Genomic DNA, 20,879 nt, shown 5'->3' on the forward strand with positions numbered 1-20,879 from the left:
TTTGTTATATGAAACCTGTTATTGATATAACCTCAAAAAACTTGCATGTGTCTAAAGTATGTTTACGTATATTTACAGCAGTGGTACTGTCATTAAAGATTTTAGGGCAGAGGGCAGTTTGCATCCTTATAGATACAATTACAAATATCTCTGTTCTTTCTTTTGTAACTACAAAATGCCTTCTGAAAGTAAAAGCATGGATAATAGTTCTAAAGGCACTTTGATTATTTTTTGGAATATCATTCCTGAATTGAGCTGTGTGCGGTATCAAAGAATTGGGCTTTTCATTAGTCAGGATGTTTGTCCTCAATTGTTTCCTTAATGATGGTTCTTTCATTGCTGGAATGTCCTGTTTCTCCTGATGTATTTATTAGCCATGAGTTGACTCATTCTATTTTTGAGGTATGTTTCTTCTGCAGGAATAAGCTACATAGGTAATTAAGCCATTTTTCTAATTTGCCTTTTAAATATACACAATGTGCAACAACCCTTTTTTAATACTGCCACTTCAATTTTGCCTTTTGAAAATACCAATAATATTTTTCTCAACAATTTCTTAGTTTACTACAGATTTTCTTTATTGTTTTATATTCTATTTTAGTAGTCATTGCTTTTTTCTTTTATTTATATAATCATGCTTTTTTCATGATTATTAAAAAAGTAGTTTCTCTAGTATGGATATTTTTGGCAAATTTTGTTGTTTATTATTTTTTGTATTTCTTTTATTTAGATCTGACACCCCACCCTCGTTCCTCTTTTACTTTGTTCATAATTTTGAAGTCTCCCACTGACACTTACTACTTTTTCTTTACTATATAACTATTTTTTTCTTTTTTAATTTTTATTTTAGGTTTGGGGTGCATGTGCAGGTTCGTTGCAGAGGTAAACTTGTGTCATGGGGGTTTGTTGTACAGATTATTTCACTATCCGGGTATTAAGCCTAGTACCCTGTACAGTTATTTTTCATGTTATTTTCTTGAGTATAAAAAGTGGTAAAATGTACTCCATTTATATGAATATTCCATGTCTTTCAACTTTAGTAGAATTTATGCTTATTAATAGCTTTCTTTTCCTATATCACTGGCAATGGAATAAAACCAAACATCTGTTTCTTTGTTGCTATCAGCATATTTAGGAATTGACAGAATCATTTGATTGAAAATTCTCTAAATATGATCACAGTACTTTATGGATTTTCATCTTTTTTAACAACATAAATATGGATTACATTTGCCTTATAATCATGTGTTTGTGATGCAAGCAGATATACCAGTACTTAGATGGTTCTCAGGAGAGACTCCATTTCTCAGTCTAATACTGGTATAGGGGAAAGGAATTTAAACTGTTTTCAGAAAAAAAGGTCATCCATACCGCGTGTCATGTTCTTTGCATTTATTCTAGTTTTAAGTTTCTTTAATATTTAACATGGAGATGTTACTACTTCTCTCACCAAGTTATAATAGAGGATGTTTAGGGTTGAATAAAATAATATATGTTAAACATTTTACTTTATGGTTTATATACTATTAGTATTATGCTTATTTTATATATTGCCATTATCTTATCATGAAATAACAAAAATGCCGGGGGGGGGGGGTCTATCGATTTTGAGTTATGGTTTGCTAACTGCGTTGTCCTGAATGATTTCTCTGATCATGAAAAAGTACACAGTGGGTGGAATTGCAAACATCAATTCTTCTGGTAGTGTACACAGGCTTCTGTAAGTTAGGAAAATCCTTCGACAGTTATGGCCTTCAAATTCCCCTTCAAGACAGCTGTACAATAGAATATTGCCGTATTTCAATTTTCTCCCCATGAATTGTTCACATTAGTTTCTCAACCTAAAATGTCTTTTGGTGTGGTCTTATTTTTAATGTGAACTGGCTTAGAGGTCAGAGATTAATTGCCAATAATATTCCTGAAAAGAGTAGGAAACTACTTTTAAGTAAAACATTGCACTTAATCCAATAGGTCTTTATTCTTCATAAACCAAATGTCCTTTCTGAATAATATTTTTCCTACTCAGTTAGATATTTTGGTATGTCCTGTAGATACCTCAATTTTAATATGGCCAAAAATATCTGTCATTTCCTCTCTTCAAACTATTTCCCTCTATTATTCTTAATTTTGATTACTATAGCCATTATCTACATACTTTTTTGAAGCTTAAAACCTAAGAACTGACATGGACAACTTCCTTTTTTCATTCCCACAATAAACTGTTCATTAAAACTTTTGAATCGACTTCCAAATGCTTCTCAAATCCAACCTCTCCTCTCGTCTCCTTGCCTTTTGTCAATACTTTACTTCAGGCAAACTTTATCTATTGTCTGGCCTATAGCTGAACATCCTGACTTGTGTCCCTACTCTCAGTTGTTCCTTAGTCTTTCATTCCTGGACATCTCGTTAAATTCTCTACATGGTTCCCAAAGTTACCTACCCATTATATCATAATATCATTTTTAAAGGTTTAAAAGGTTTTTGATGCAATATCATTGGCTATTAGAGAAAAGCAAAGTAAAGCTACAATGACATGCCACTATACACTTACTAGAATGGGAAAAGTAAAACCATGCTGACAATATCAAGTGCTGGTAAATATGTGGAACAACTGGATCTCTCCTGCATTGGTGGTGGGAATGTAAATCGATACATTTATTCTGAAAAGCAGTTTGGCAGTCTTTTATAAAGTTAACCATATCTTTATCACATGACATAGAAATCACAATCTTTAGTGTTTATCTCAGAGAAATGGAAACTTACATTCACGAAAAACCAGAACACTAAAATGCATAGGAACTTTATTTGTAATAGCCCTAATCTGGAAAAACTCAATTGTCGTTCAATGAATGAATGAATAAACAAACTGTGGTACATCATTACAACAGAATACTACTCAGAAATGAAAAAGAATAAGCTATTAATAGACACAATAACTTGAATATATATTGAGGCTAAGTGGGAAAAAAGCCTATCTCAAAAGGTTACTTACTGTGTGATTCTATTTATTTAAAAGCCTAAATATGATGAAATGTAGTGATGGAGAACAGACCAGTGGTTATTAGGGGTTATGGTATGAGGAAGTGGAGGGTTGTGACTATTAAAAGATAAATTTCTTTATGTTGATAGAACAGTACTCTATCTTGATTGTAGTGATACACTAATCTATATATGTCATGGAATTTATAGAACTATATACTAAGGGAAGAAAAGATGACTGAAAAGTAGATGAAATCACAGTATGATCTGTAGTCTAGTTAATAGCATACCTATATCAATTTTTTGGCTTGGATGAACTTCTTCGCTTACAAGTTTCTTTGGGAATCTCTGTACTGTTTTAAAAACTTGTTTATCTTAAAATATTTCAAAATAAAATCTTATTCAAGGGAAAAAAAATAAAGGCTTCTACTGATTCCCAAGACCAAGAGAGATAAAAATCAAATTTTTACCAAGACATATAATATGAATCCAAGTTGTTTTTAAACTCTCTAATCATCACTCTTCTTCATTCTTGCAAGTAGTTCATATCTTAGCCATTGGGAAATCACAGCTATGCACAGAATGCCTTCTTTCACCTCTCATTGACAAATTCCCACTTATCTTTCAATACATGGGCTAAATTCTTCTTTGAGGATCTTCTCAAATCTCAAGTGCTGCTCCTACTCTGCTGCTATAACACTTCATCATACATTTTTTGAGAAATTATCACAATCCATTGGTTTTTTTTCTGTTTATGCATCAGTTTCTTTCTTTAGACAATCAACTGGACAGATGGTATAGCACTGTTCCAGGTTCCTCTCAGAGGAGACAGTATTAGCCTAATTACTTTATAAGCTCAATCTAAAACTAATTTTACAACCAAGCCCAAAATAAATTAATGTTTTGTATTAATTGAGCTGTTGCACTTAGACTTGGTTAATATAAATGTTTTTATTTTCTTCCACCCACAAGGAATGTCTATTTTTCATTGTTGTTTCTGATCTCCATATTCTTGCCATATTAGCAGAACATCAGTGTTTCAAATATATTTTTTAAAGCAAGCTTCATGGATCTAATAAACACTAATATCATCAGTGCTTTTCTATGGCCCAGGGAAATTCTATCTAGAGTTACAGGACATTTTTGAATAGAGTTAGAAATATATACAGTTCTCTTGGAGTCCATAACATTTTATTTCCCAAATATTATGTTTGTGGAATCTAATACTTGCTGTTGTGTGCTATTATAGGCACAATTTTAAAAACATTTGTTTTATATATAAGCTCTTGGGTCATGATCTCAGGAAGTCATTTTAGATTATGTTGGTTTTGTATGATAGAATCACTTTCTAAAAGTGATAATAGTACAACATGACAGACAGTGGTAATTGACCATAGAAAACAAAAGCAGAAAAATATATTTGTATGAAGCAAAGCAAATTATGTATTAAGTTTGATGCCATAATTGTAATAATATGTTGAGATGCCTACTAATTCTAACCTCTTATTCAACCTAGTTTTTAAGGATTTTTTCCTATTCTTTTTATCATCAGTAAGCCAAGGTCTGTTCCTCCTTCTGTAATAGCTTTTTGTTTTACTATAGACAGCATAGAGTAAATGCAAAAGTTTTAATCAATACAATTAACATGATTCACAAACCTTCCAGTGACATCTTTGCCAAATTTCATACCCTATATTACGAAGTTCTGCATGAAAAGCTTTGACTGTTTTTCTAATCCCATTGTATATCCTCCTTTTATGTAGTACACCCCAGACTTATTGGCCTTCTTCTTGTTCCTCCGACATCCAGGCTTGCACTGGTTTGGGAACTTTAGCTGTTATCCCTCTTCAGGGTGTAATGCCTCAAGATTTCACACACGACTTTTTCTGGTTTTTCAGATCTTAGTTTAAGTGTCACTTTCCCAGAGAGGCCTTTTCTGAGTATACAACTTAAAGTAATCTTGTCATAGTGTGTGTGCCAATGCTGTCTTATAACAGCTCACTAGGGCTTACAGTATACCTCTTTCCAACTATGTATTGAGTGATGTCATATTAGTATATTTAAATCAGTCATGTTGGGAATGTTTTCATCACAGAAAATGGCAAAAACTCGGCTTGCTTTGTTCCTTTTAGAGAGCTGGTTATTAAACATTTGTCAGCATACCATTGCCTATATTGCCTATTAATATGTGACTCTTTATATTCTTTATATTTCTTGCAACCTTTAATTTCTCTTCTGAAAACTCTATTCATATGCATCTATTTCTAGTAGAGTATAAGTTTGATAAGAACCAATTCCCTGCTGTCTTGCTAGTGCCTAGAATACTGATTTCCACATCATGAATGTACAGTAAATATTTTTTGAATGAGTAAATTACTAGGCTAACCTATCTGTTATTCAGTTATGATGACTTTATTAATATTTAACATCCATTAGTTGATTTTTAAAATAAAGCATCTATTCTTCTATGAATGATTTCCTTAAGTAACATTGGATATATATGTATGCTCTGTTATTAGTCTCTTTCAATTAGTCAGATGCCCATTTCAAGATAGCTCGTTAGATTTGCTTTATCCTAACATATAAACTTCACTCAGAAGAGAGAACTTTCAAATCCTTAAATCATCTAAGAAATCTCTCCAATTCTTTCATGTCAAGGTTAATAATTAAACGTTTAATATCTCTTTAAGCTATTAAGCTAGCAATAAAAATGCAATATTTTAACCCAATTTACTCGATTAAGGAACAATCCCAGATGTGATTTAACATGAAGAATTGCAGTGATCTGCAGTTCATTAAAATCTGAATACTAAAAAGAGAATTTTAAACATATTATGTAAAGACGTTCGTTTACCTCTTTTCCATAAAGAAATATTATCTTCATTTTCCTTAAAGCATGTTGATTATCCTTAGGTACTGGATATATCTAACATGAATTATTGCCTTTTTCCCTGCAGAGCTGTGTACTGGTAGTTATTAAATAGCCCATTATCAACTGAAATTCAGATGCAGGTTTTATTCTCCTTTTTTCTGACCATATTTTTCTGCTAGTGTTTATTTATTTACTTATTTTCATTAAAATGACCATGACCTTGGTGTTAAAATCAGTAATGTATACAGAAAATTCATTTGGAATGCAATAGTTATAATTCAGTTCTGAAAATTTATGTTTATCAAAGTATAAAATATTTTTGTTATAGCTCTTTTAACTTTTCCTAAAGTGATGTGTGAGCATGATGTAACGTAGCAGAGGCCCAAATTTCCTTTAAGAATATTGCTTAGACCTCATATCATCTTCTAGCCTCACTATAAGCAAATTGAGAACTGCAATCATTTGATGGTTTTAGGACTTAACAAGAAAAGAAAATACTAAAAATCAGATGTCCTACACTGAGAGTTTTATCTTCTAAAGAATTCTTTCATCTTTTATGTTAAGGACCTCCAAAGTATGATGTTGTTAACGTGAACACATATGTGCACAAATGAGAGCTGCGTTACAGCGCTGAGAAACTACATGTGGATCCTGAGACCAAGTTTAGCTGAAAAAGTACATCTGTGAGCAAACGGCATTGAATTTTATTATTAAGCATCTGATGAAGTGGTTCACCTTTTGTTTTTAGGTCCACATTTGCTGAAATGTAACTCTTATCTCATGCACTGGGAGTGATGAACTTCACTAGGAAATCATCGTTCTTTCTGGTAAGTCACCACAGCACAAAACTGCAACCATTGTTTAGTAACAACTAGACTCTGATAGATGCTGTGGAGAATTTGACTAGAAGTAGGAGGATCATTTACTACATGGCAAAAAAACAAATCAGTCTATCTTAGAAAGGTTAAAATTTACATGGATAATAAAGAAAGGAAGGTAGAAGAAGAGTGATAAATTAGTGAGAAAAGAACAGTAGGTGTAATTATAGCAATATGCTTAAATGAAAGAGAAAAATATGGCAGAAGCATTTATTGATTTGAGATTGTAATTTTTTTAAATAAAAAAGCTTAGTCTGGATTCCAACTTGTATATAAAATTAGGAGCAAAGGTATGATTAATATGTTCATGGAATATAATTATCAAGAAACCACAGACATTTGTGTATGGAGGACACAGAAAGGTGAGAACTTGCTAACAGGAATCCCATTAAAGAAGCTTCAGAATTTGAAGATCAGCAAAGAGAAGGAAGAGATGAGAATGAAAGGCTTTATGAAGGAATGAAATGACAGTCATTGCATTTATTGATGTATCTGTATTTAAACATAAGTATATTTATTTATATTTGAACATAACAGTTTTCTAGCAAAATTAATAAGGATTATGCTACAGACATACTCAGTTACGATCTTAGAGGGATTCTGAGAACTCTTTGATAGGTTATTTACTTATAGTTTGTCAGTAGTTTCTAAACATTTTTGGATGGACATCTCTATAAGTAATAATATTTGAGCAAGTAAACTTCAGTACTATATTTGTTTATATGTACACAATTTTTCTAATATATAATTTAAAAATACCTACTAAAATTGATGAGATAAGATGAATGTAAACAGAATTTTTAATAAATTATTTCTACCACAGCAGATCATTTTTGTATGCATCCCAATCTGGAGACTTCACAGTTTGATTTGGCATTACTATTGATTTGAAATAGAGTTTTGTTTATTTGTTTCATTGTTACAAAGAATAGGAAACACAACATAGAGGCTCCCCTCCTAGAATCAAACTAACTTTAGCATATTATCAACAAATGCTTGCCTCTGAAAAAATACTATTCACTTCTTGTATTAATGAGACTTTATCCAATTTAATTTCATATATTGGATGAGGTTAGGCATTCATTAGAACAAGTCATGACAGGCTAGCATTTGTATTTATTAATAGTATGGTAGATATTGATCTTTTTTTCTTCTGAACAACAGGCATTCTATTTTCTAACTATTCTTTCCTCGTTTCATGTGATTTTGATGAGGCTATAAATCACAGGACCCTGCTCTTTCAGCTTAGTCTAATTTTGGCACAAAGTATGCATTTAATAACTGATAACAATTATTACTACTATTGTAATTATTACTATTATTGTAGTTATAGGTACTAATTGGGATTTGTTGAGAGTCCCATATTTGCTCTATGGAATAAACCAAAAGTTGATCAACTCTTTCTGTAAAGGGCCAGATAGTCTATGTTTTGGGCTTTGAGGACATTATGTTCTCTGCCATAACCACTTAACTCTGCCATTGTAACATAAAAGTAACCAGACAGTACATCAAAAAATGAATGTGGTTTTGTTCCAATAAAACTTTAGCTGTGAATATGGAGGTGGGTTTGATGTAATTTGAGGGCCATAGTTTGCCAAACCCCAGAAAAAAGCATACAAAATTTACTGAATGCCAATCTGTACAAATGCATAGCTAGTGTGTTAATACATAAATATGCATACAGTCATTCATTATATAATAATTTAGTTCAATAATGGTCTGCATATACCATGGTGGTTCCATAAGGTTGTAATATCATATTATTACTGTACATTTTTTATTTTGACATGTTTATATACATAAATACTTACCGTTGTGTTACAATTGCCTGCAGTATTTGGAACAATCACAAGCTATACAGGCTTAAAAGCGAAGAGCAATAGGCTCTATACCACATAGCCTAGGTGTGTAGTAGGCTATATCATGCAGGTATACATAGAGCATAAGTACATTCTATGATGTTCACACAACAAATCACCTAAGGACTCATTTCTCAGAACATTTCCCTGTCATTAAGTGATGCATGACTACACACGTACCTGAAACTATAAATAACTTTGAAGCATAAATAGTTGGTTGCTTTCTGGTATTTAAAATCAAGCCTACTTTTTAGGCTAAGTGATAGAAGAATAAGAAAATGCTGATTCCTTTCAATGTTTCTTTTGCTTTCATTATGAACTGAATGCTTGTATGCCCCCAACATTTACATGTTAAAGCCTGATTCCCAATGTGATGGCATTTGGAGGTAGATCCTTTACAGGTAATTAGGTCATGAGAGTGGAGCACTCATTAGTGGTATTAGTGCCCTTATAAGAAGACACAGGATAGAGTGTGCTTCCTCTTTATCTTTTTCCACCATGTGAGGAAGCCGTGGAAGAAGGTGATCATCAGAACCTAACCATGCTGACACCCTGCTTTCAGAATTTCAGCCTCCAGAACTGTAAGAAATACATTTCTGTTGTTTAAGCCACCCAGTAATTCGTTATAGCAGCCTGAACCAACTAAGTCAGCTTTCATTATTTGTTTCTTTATGATTTGCTGATCTTGTTTTGTGCTTCACAAAGATCCACATAAAACGTCGATCCCCCCAGTAGTTCACTTGCAGTTGGTCAATTTCCTGCAGCAGAGCTAATCAACTCATTGCAGACTCTCCTTGCCTTTCTATTCTAGCTGATCTAAGTTTGATCTGTAAAGTATAGTTTCTATGTCAACTTTAATTTTGCTATGCACTTTTTCCATGTCTTTAAAACTACATAAACACATGTAATATTTAAACACTGTGGTCTATTCTAATCTATGAAAAGCCTATTATTCTGTTCCATTTTTCAAAATACATTTCTCAATTACAATGATGCTATAAGTTTTATAAACTCCCTTTTATTAGGCAAGGAAAAAATGCCCCTCTTCTAGATAGAGGGCCTCCAAGTTAATTCATCAGCAGTAAACATTTTTTTTCCTATGGTTAAATTGATGTATTCACTGCTCCGTCCTTTCTTACTTCTCAACATTAACCCTCCAACAACCTGGATTTTCCTGTGGTCTCTGAAGAATTTTCTGCTAAATAATGTATCCATCACTACTTTTGACTTATAATTTCTATTTTAATAAAAAAAGATTGATTTTTTAAAATTAAAATATTTTATTCTTAATAAATATTAAAAGACTGTTACTGTTAAAATACATTGATTCTATATATATTTTTTCTCTATCCTTCCTTTGAACGACGCTCAAGGCATTTCTTCCATTATGCCTACAGACCTGTGTTATAACACATTCTTTGCCAATCCTTGAAATAAATGCTTAGCAAGGTAATCTTTTAGTTGTATCAGGAGGAAAAGCTATTTGCTTTCTGTCATCACAGACCAATCACAGGTCCTGTTTCAACTTCATTTATTAATATTGAGTCAGGTATGCTGCTCAGATTCCTTTGTATATGCTAAACTGTCTCCACAAATTGGTGTTTAATGTCTACAAGAAAAAAAAAAGAGTGGCTATATTTGTAGCAAAAGGTAAACTCATTGATTTTCATCTCCAGAAGCAATACAAGGATGATTTATTTCCTTGAGAGATAATTTCTTATATGTATAGTAATCAAGGATAGCAACACAAATGAAAATGTAATTATGAGTACTGCATACCATATTGGTTTTTTTCTTCTATTTCTTCTGTTTTTGTTAATTGTCAAAGCCAAGAGTATGTCAAGCTGAGAAAATGTCATTAATGAGGATATAGATTAAATGGTCTGTGGGTAATTAATGATGACTGCAATGTCTTTCTCACTTTCTGCATAAAAGATGGGGTTTATTGCTTCTCTCTTTGAACCTGGGTTAGCTCTGTGACTGCTTCATCAGTAAAATGTGGTAGAAATGACTTGGTGACAGCTGAAAGTTTACATTTTAAGCAGAGTCTGCTCCCATTTCCTATTGCTTGGAGTGCTTGCTCTGGGGAAAACTAGATGCCCTGTAAGATGTGTGAATATTTGGAACTCGACACGCTATGAGGACTCCAAGCCGGCCATGTTGCAACATCATTTAAACACTATGCATATTGAATTCAGTAGGTTCTTCACACAGATGCTATCTTTAAAAAAAAAACAAATGTAGTTTAACAATTTATTTATTTGTTTTTGTCAATTCTTACAGCAAACATTTGTAGAATATAGTTAAGGATACAGAGATAAAAGATAACATTTTTATCCACAAGGAATGCTTATTGTATTCTGTGAGACAGAAAAGTAAACACACAAAATTTAAAAAGTATTATAGGTAATAAGGCAGAAAAAGGTACAATGTACAAGTTTGGATGCTAAGAAAGAAATACTACTTCTATCCGGAGGCATGGTATCTAGTATGCTCTTTGTGTATAATAACAATATATTATTATATGTTTTATATGCATTTTTATTAATAATGGTAATGGCAACTCTCCATTATTGAGCACAAATCATGTGCCAAGCATTATGCAAGTGAGCTACTATTCTGCTTCTACCTGAGAAAGGAGCAAGAAATTAGAAATAACATGTTTCTAAAAATTTCCAATCCAAATTGATCATCTCAAAATAGTATGGCACTTAGGTCAATCAATTTCTTGGGAAAAGAAGCTAACTAGATTATAAAATGGGATCCCTCCTCAAAAGGCAGCTCATTCATGATAACTCTCTAAATGGTTGTATGAAAAGATAAAAATAATTAAGTTTCATCCTGGACCTTTTGATGCTAACATTAAAAGGACAGCACTGTCTTCTCACAAAAATCCCTTATTTTTCTTCTTACCAATAGAAATCCATGATGAGTGAGCTTGTCTCATTGTGGCAATTCCTATAATAACAGATAACAACTAGTAACAAATGTCTCTGAGTCAAATCTCTCTTCTGACCAGCCACACTGAATGAGATAATTTGTCATTTCAATTTAAGTGTTTGTGTGATGATGAGAATACTGAAAATGTGACTTTTAAAGCACTTGATGATACTTTGAATTCTTTAGTTTTTGTAGTTTTGGTCCAAATTTGCTTGCTTTATTTCCTCATAGGTAATGAAAATATAAATCCTTAGCCTAACACTTTTGCAAATTATTTCAAAATGAGAATAAATGAAGTTTAAATTCATTGTGTCTTACTCAAATTGTTTTTACTCATATGGTTGAGTTTCAAATTCACCAGCTGCACAACCTCATGCCAGTCATTTGTTTCCCTCACATATGCCTGTGAAGATCAAAGGTTATAGTTCTTGCTTGTGGTTTTCAAAATCAGTTTTGCTGAGAAAACTGATCTCTAAATCAATGCTTAGTCAGAAGCCAAATACGTAAAGCACATAACCTCAGGGTTACTTGAAGGATCTCTAATCAATGGAGATAGGATATGATGAAATTGGACACGAATGTGTTAGATAGCATATTAGTTGTGGATGTTACACAAAGAAGCACTCTCCTCAAATAAGTTTGAGACACTCAGTGATAAGGAAGTTACACAGTTTCTTTATTGCAGTACTTCTCCAAGACCTAGTTATGCTGATGTGAATTGTTATTCTGTGGTGAAGGGTAGTATTTCTCAAAGTTAGGCAACAAATCATTGAACTTTAAGAAAGACAGAAGTGTATTTTATGTACTATTTTATCCTCAATGCTTCCCATAATATCTGACACATAAGTGATATCAATAAACAACATTTGACTGAATTTAAATAATCCATGAGATTTGGTTTCTGTGCCACTCACTACTGAGTAGCTTTTTGTTTTGAAGAACGTAGTCTTTTCTCTCTGTTATTATTTTTGTAATGTGAGAGATGTCTACAAACACAAGAACCAACTGAGCACAAAACAAATAAACAAAAGCTCTGAATCTATAACTAATTGAACCACTGAAATTTTTCATCTAAACTTTCCTTACATTCTGACATCCAGAAAAGAATTTCTGCTCAAATGGGCAAGTCATAAAGACAAATACTTTTAACTGTCTTGGTGTTTCACCCCATTTGTTTTATTATCTCTTACTTCTTTTTATGTAAGTTATATTTAGTAGACATTTGTCCACTATTAATGGACTTCTTTCTAGAGGTGGCATTATGTTGAATTTAATTTTTTAAGGTCATTGCAAGTAAATGAAAAATTTCTGTCTATTATGGTCATTACTATTGAAAATAGATGTGGGAGAATATTCTGTTTATCATTACTGGGAAGATATGTACCAGGTACTGTTCTAAATTTAGTACATTTTTCAAAATATCTAACTTTATTTAATTTTCCTAAAATTGCATGAGATGGATATTACCGTCTTCATTTTCTCAACGAGAAAGAACTTGAGGATCTGAAACATTGAGGAATTTTTCTAAGAACAAATAGCTGTGAAATTACAGAGTTGAGGTGAGGACTCAATTTTACCCTGACTCCAAATCATATACTCTTAAATAATAAATAATAGAAATTTGAAATACAAAAATCAGTTTCTCTCTCCTTCTGGTTTCCTCATTTTATTCTGAGACATCAAGGGAAAGAAGAAAATATCTTCTATGTTAAAACCCCTCACCTCAACGTGAATTTGTACACTATTCCAGTTTTATTCCCAAAGTGATTGATGAGTTCAAACAGACAGAGGTGAGGGATTGGAATATTAATATCAAAGATCTCAAACGATTTTCTCTCTCCTATGACAGTATTGAATGAGCTTAAACTAATGTTAGCATCAAGATCTTCAAAACATCATTCATCGTGGGGAAAAGGGAATCAATACTAACATCAGGATCTTCCCTCTTACTTAAAGCTTTAATTCACTTCTATGTTCCACTTATATAACCCCAAACAGCCAATACATTTCATTTTATAATATTGCCTATGAATTTTACATATTTATTTTGTGTTATTTCATTAGTCACTGCATGCATGCCTCTGTCCCTTCAACAAATGTTTATTGAGGACCTATTACATGTCAGCACTGTTGTAGGCTCTGGGATGCATCAGAGAACAAAACAAACAACAATCCCTGATGTAACGGAGCTTGCATTTTAATGAGGAAAATAGACTATAAATAAAATAAATAAGTTAAATCAATAGCATATGAGAATATTATAAGTGGGGGGAAATCACTCAGAGAAGGCAGAGAAGGAGTTTTGGGAAGTAGGGGTGAATTTTAAATTGAGCATTCAGAAAAAGACTCACTGAAAAGATGAAATTTGAGCAAATGCATGAAAGAGATGCAGAAATGAGCCAGCTGGATATCTGAAGGAAAAGCATGCTAGGCAGAGGGAACAGCAAGGTGGCACATATGCTAAACTATACGGTGAGGAACAGAGTACTAGAGAGATGAATTCACAGAGCAAATAGGGGAGCAGGGTGTGTGTGTTCAAAACTGCAGACCAGGGGTTAGTAAACTTGCCTTCTAAGGGGCCAGATTATAAACAGGTTCAGCTTTGCAGGCCACATTATCTCTGTCACAACTACTCAACTTTGGCATTATAATACAAAAGCCATCATTGTATGTAAACCAATACATGTGACTGTTCTAATCCAACTTGATTTTAAAAAGCAAGCAGTGGTCAAATTTGCTACAATTTCCCATTGCAGACCATTGAGAAAATTTTGGCTTTTGCTTTAATTGAGATGAAGTGTAGGGTAGTTTTAAAAAAACTGTGGCATATTCTTTAGATTTCTTCCCATTGAGAGGTGTCTCTACATCTTGCCTTCATTTTGGCTGGACTTATGACTTCTTCTACACATGTACTATGGTAGAAATGATGCTATGCGACCTCTAAGCCTAGTTAATAAAAAAGCATACAACTTCCACTGTTTTCTTTGTATCCTCCCTCTAGAGAAAACCAACTACCATGTAAGTATATGGCTACCTTGAGGCCACTGAATTGGAGAAACCACATTGAAAAATCTCACAAGTAGGACAGGAGATGCCAGATAAATCCCAGCTGTTCCAGCCTTCACGTAGTTGTGTCATGCAAACCTGTGATTGTGGAAGGCATAAAGATGACTTCAGCCTCGACCTCCATCTGACTACAATCACATGACAGATCCCAAACCAACACAACCCAGCTGAGTCTAGTTGGTTCCCAGGACCTTGAGCGGAGTGATACATATTTTTTTAAGCCAGTCTGTTTTGGAATTGTGTCTTACACATACCCAGGTAACTGAAATCAGCACTCTTTAAAGTATTTTGAGAAAAGGAATTATGCAGCATTAATCTTGTGTTTTAACAGGATTTCTCTGGCTTTGTGGGTGGCAAAAAGGAATCAGGGAGACTATTTTAATAATCCAGACAAAAGAGTTTAGTGGGTTGGACCAGAATCATAGCAGGGAGGACCAAGAAAAAGGGTAGGATTTTGTTTAACTGTATTTTGAAGGTACAGGTAACTGCTTTACCTGATAAATTACATGTAGAATACAAGACAAAGGGTTGAATGAAGGTGTCTCCAAGAGTTTTTAGCATGTGGCAGAATGTAGCTGTCATTTACTGAGTTGGAAGAATATGAGAGATGCTGATTTGAAGGTGAAAAATCAGGACCTGAGTTTTGGACTTGTTATTTTCTACATGGTTATTCAACATCCAAATGGAGAAAGCAAAGGGGCAAATATGTATGAGTCTAGCTTTTCTAGCAGAGGTCTTATCTGGAGATATATGTGGATGCTGCCAGCCTCTAGAAAATACTGAGTTACTAAAGCACAAACGGGGAAGAGAAATACCAAGAGCTTGAGGCACTTACATTTTAAGAGGGCAGGGAGATAAGGTAGGATTATCAAGAGTGTTCAAGAGAAAAGGGCCAGAGAGGTAGGAGAAAAGTTAAGAGAAAGTGATGTCCAAGGAAGCCAAGTGGAAACAGTACTGATGCATGAACCAAGGCAGGCATTTATTATGAAACTGAGCATCCAGAAAACAGGGTGAATATTTAATACCTGTTTTGTCTTCATTTATGAAATCATGACAAACAGCGTTCATATCTTGAGTCCATTCTATATGCAAGTACAAGTAAAACCTTAGCAAGTATTCTCAATTACAAGTGCAATTTTAGATATTGATGAAGGATGGGCAAGAATTTGGAACAATTTGCTAGGGATGATATAAAATTGTAATAAATAAAAAGTGTTACTTTTTGGCTGTGTCCCCACCCAAACCTCCTCTTGAATTGTAATACCGGTAATCCTCACGTGTGGTTGGAGGAATCTGATGGGAGACGATTGGATCGTAGAGGTGGTTTCCCCTATGCTGTTCTCGTGATAGTGAGTGAATTGTCATGAGATCTGATGGCTTTATAAGGCAGTTTTCCCTGCTTTTGCTCATGTTCCCTCACCTGCCACCATGTAAGATGTGCTTGCTTCTCCTTCTGCCATGATTGTAAGTTTCCTGAGGCCTCCCCAGCCATGTGGAACTGTGAGTCAATTAAACCTCTTTTCTTTGTAAATTATCCAGTCTTGGGTAGTATCGTTTAGCAGTGTGAGAATGGACTAAAACAAGAAGGAAGATTGAGACAACATGCTTTGGCCTCTTCTCTGTTTGTTGAACATCCTGGGGAATCCACCACCATAATATCTCTTCTGTTTTAACTGAAGACTTTTGTGCAGGACACTGAATTCGCACCAATCTTTATGTTCATATTGACAACTCAGTGATTAATAGGGATACCCTAATTTGTTTCATATGCTACATGGTCACAAATTTAGATATGTAAGCTGCAGAAATGAATTGGTTCAACCTTTCTGTAAACTGGGGCTTTATACAAGGAACAATTAAAATTTCTTTAGTTGGCTTTTCTCTGCACTATTTCCCCATTTGTCTATCTAAATCTAAACACAGATGCCATAGTCCTGTTATTCTACCCTTAACTGTGGTGATGCAAAATATAATGCAAAAGCTCAAAAATGATGCACAATAATAGACATGCGCAACCAGCTTTGTAAACAAAAGTTTGCAGTGAGGTCCCCAAAGACTGGAAACTAAATGTTTCCTTTTCAAATGAACAGCTAATATGTCTCACGGTTAGAATGTAAAACTTGCTTCATTACTCATTTAACGACCTGGGGAACTAAAACCATCCTTTCCTCTTCCAATGTTTGAAAGATAATTTTAAATTTTAAATTTCATGTTTTTCTCATTATTAAGGATTGATAATGGACCCAATGCATGGGAAAACTAATCTAACAAAAAATACATTGGAGGTGTCAAGGCAGTGTGTATTAGTGGATGACACTTAAATGAGCTGCTAACAGGGCTCAGAAAGAACCTGACAGGCACCATGATTGATCTATTATTGGCCTAGGTGACATTATTGGATTTCAGAAATTTGAATTAAAAATTTCACCTAAAGAAAAAGAATAAGTTTGAATTCAGGCAGATAATTTAGTATAGTCATTATTTTAAAAAACTTGCTGAAGTGAGGCAGTGTCTACACAGTCAAGTAGGCTTTGGTAAATATTTTAAATATTGTGATTTTTACCTGCAATATATTTGTATACTGCAATGCCTTTGTACACCACAGTTATATTTTAAATATACCATTTTAAGTTATTTTCGTTTGTGTGAATAATGTTGAATATCTGATTTCGTAGTTAACCTGGCCAGAGGCTTTTTTTTAATTGAACTTTTCAAAAAATCATCTTCTGGTTTTGTTGATTTCTCTATTGATTTCCCATTTTTATTTCATTTATTTCTACTCTAATTTTAATTTATTTTCCTATGCTTACTTTGGATTTAATTTGCTTTTGTTCTAGTTTTCTAAGGTGATTAATTTTTTTAATTTTAATAAGTTTTTGGGAAACAGGTGGTGTTTGGCTACATGAATAAATTCTTTATTGGCGATTTCTGAGATTTTGGTGAACCCATCACCCAAGCAGCGTACACTGTACCCAATATCTATGTAGTATTTTATCCCTCAACCTCCTCGCACCCTTTCCCCCAAAATCCCCAAAGTCTGTTATATCATTCTTATGCCTTTGCATCATCATAGCTTAGCTCCCACTTATGAGTGAGAACATATGATGTTTGGTTTTCCATTCCTGAGTTGCTTCACTTAGAATAACGGTATCCAATTCCAAGGTTGCTCAAATGTCATTATTTTGTTCCTTTGTATGGCTGAGTAGTATTTCATTATATATATATATATATTTTATATATATACACACATATATCGATATCACATTTTCTTTATCCACTGTTGATTGATGGCATTTGGGCTGGTTCCATATGTTTGCAATTGTGAATTGTGCTGCTATAAACATGTGTGTACAAGTATCTTTTTTGAATAATGACTTATTTACCTATGGGTAGATACCCAGGAGTAGGATTGCTGAATCAAATGATAGATCTACTTTCAATTCTTTAAGGAATCTCCACACAGTTTCCCATAGTGGTTGTACTAGTTTACATCCCCACTAACAGTGTAAAAGTGTTCCCTTTTCATCAGATCCATGCCAATATCTATTTTTTTTTATTTTTTGATTATGACATTCTTGCAGAAGTGAGGTGGTATCGCATTGTGATTCTGATTTGCATTTCCCTGATAATCGGTGATGTTGAGCATTTTTCATGTGTTTGTTGACCATTTGTATATCTTCTTTTGAGAATTATCTATTCATGTCCTTAGCCCACTTTTTGATGCAATCGTTTGTTTTTTTTCTTGCTGATTTGCTTGAGTTCCTTGTAGATTCTGAATATTAGTCCTTTGACTGATGCACAGGTTGTGAATATTTTCTCCCACTCTGTGGGTTGCCTGTTTACTCTGCTGATCATTTCTTCTGCTGTGCAGAAGCTTTTTAGTTTAATCAATTCCCATCTATTCATCTTTGTTTTTGTTGTGTTTGGTTTTGGGTTCCTGGTCATGAAGTGTTTTCTTAAGTCAATGTCTAGAAGGGTTTTTCCAATGTTATCTTCTAGAATTTTTATGGTTTCAAGTCTTAGATTTAAATCTTTGATCCATCTTAATTTGATTTTTTTATAAGGTGAGAGGTGAGGATTCAGTTTCATTCTTCTACATGTGGCTTGCCAATTATCCTGGCAACCATTTGTTGAATAGGGTTCCTTTCCCTATTTTATGTTTTTGTTTGCTTTGTCAAAGATCAGTTGGCTGTAAGTATTTGGGTTTATTTCTGGGTTCTCTATTCTGTTCCATTGGTCTATATGCCTGTTTTTATACCAGTACCATGCCGTTTTGGTGACTATGGCCTGATAGTATAGTTTGAAATTAGGTAATGTAATGTCTCCAGATTTGTTCTTTTTCCTTAGTCTTGCTTTGGCCCTGTGGGCTTTTTTTTGGTTCCATGTGAATTTTAGGATTGTTTTTTCTAATTCTGTGAAGAATGATGGTGGTATTTTGATGGGAATTGCGTTAAATTTGTGGATTGCTTTTGGCATTATGGTCATTTTCACAATATTGATTCTACCCATCCATGAGCATGGTATGTATTTCCATTTGTTTGTGTTGTCTATGATTTCTGTCAACAGTGTTTTGCAGTTTTCCTTATAGAGGTCTATCACCTTCTTGGTTAAGTATATTACTAAATTTTTTTGTTGTTATATTTTTGTGGCATTTTGCAGCTACTGTTAAAGGGGTTGAGTTCTTGATTTGATTCTCAGCTTGGTTGCTGTTGGTGTATTTCAGCGCTACTGATTCGCGTACATTAATTTTGTATCCTGAAACTTTACTGAATTCATTTACCAGTTTTAGAAGCATTTTGGATGAGTCTTTAAGGTTTTCTAGGTATAAGATCATATCATCAGCAAACAAGAACACTTTGACTTCCTTTTTACTGATTTGGATGCCCTTTATTTTTCTTTTGTCTGATTGCTCTGGCTAGGACTTCCAGTAGTATGTTGAATACAAGTGGTGAAAGTGGGCATCTTTGTCCTATTCCAGTTCTCACGGGGAATGCTTTCAACTTTTCCCCATTAAGTATAATGTTGGCTGTGAGTTTGTTATAGATAAGGTGATTAATTTTAAATATTTCTTTTCTAATAAATGTATTCAATGCCATAAATTTCTCTCTAAGCACTGCTTTCGACACATCCCACAAACTTTGTAAGTTGTATTTTCATTTTCATTTAGTTCAAAATACTTATTTTGTTGTTGTTGAGATTTTTTCTTTAATCCATGTGTTCTTTAATAGTGTGTTCTTTAATCATAAGACAGTCAGTAGATGTCAGTTATATCCAGTTAATTGACGGTGCTGTGTTTACTCTTTTTTCTGTCTGCTTGATATGTCCATTTTTGATAGAGGGGTGTTGAAGTTACCAACTATGATAGTGGACTCATGTTTTTCTCCTTGCAGTTCTATTAGATGTTGCCTCATGTTTTTGATGCTCCATTGTTAGGCATCTATACATTAAGGATTGTCATGTCTTTATAAGGAACTGACCCCTTTATCATTATGTAATACCCATCTTTAGCCCTGATAACTTTCTTTGCTCTGAAGTCTAGTCTGTTTAAAATTAATATAGCTGTTCCCATTTTAAAAATTAGCATCAGCATAGTATATCTTTCAGTATGTGCTCCTATAGTTAATGCATGTTTCTTGTAGGCAACATACAATTGGGAAGGTTTTTTTAAATCCATTTTTACAATCTTTGCCTTTTAACTGATATATTTAGAACATTGATGTTTAAAGTAACTAATGATTTAGTTGAATTAATACCTATCATATTTGTTAGTTTTATATTTGTTACCCTTTTTCTTTGTTCTTAGTTTGTCTTCCACTATTTTACTGCCTTTCGTGGCTTTAATTGAGCATTTTGTATGATTCCATTTTCTCTCCCTTATTATTAGCATATCAGTTATGCTTCTTTTTTACATTTCTCAGTGGTTGCACTAGAGTTTCCAAGATACATTTATAACTAATTCAAATCCATGTTCAAACAACATTATACCACTTCACAGGTAGTGTGTGAGTACCTTAAAATAATAAAATAATCATAATTCTTCCCTCGTCACTTTTATCATTGCTATCATTCACTAATATATAAGCATATATAAGTGCTTATATATAAGCACTCATAAAATAACATAATAGTAGCATCAATATATTTTATTACATAATCACATGTGTAATAAAATGTATATATGTAATATATATGAAATTTATATATATATTATATATAAAAGCATATGTAATAAAATGCATTGTTGCTACTATTTTGAGCACACTTCTATTTGTAGATCAATTAAGA

The 20,879-nt window shown here is 33.3% G+C and overlaps 1 long non-coding RNA gene across 1 annotated transcript in view; it reads left to right on the forward strand.

Annotated features, from left to right (window-relative positions):
- Positions 1-6,599: 6,599 nt before the first annotated feature.
- LINC01266 (long intergenic non-protein coding RNA 1266) overlaps positions 6,600-20,879 on the forward strand; it is a 253,911-nt gene continuing 239,631 nt past the window's right edge. The window contains exon 1 of the long non-coding RNA NR_110118.1: positions 6,600-6,678. This is a non-coding gene — a long non-coding RNA (long intergenic non-protein coding RNA 1266). The remainder of the gene's footprint in view (positions 6,679-20,879) is intronic.

This window comes from Homo sapiens, chromosome 3 (assembly GCF_000001405.40).
Source record: "Homo sapiens chromosome 3, GRCh38.p14 Primary Assembly".
Lineage (NCBI taxonomy): Eukaryota > Metazoa > Chordata > Mammalia > Primates > Hominidae > Homo > Homo sapiens.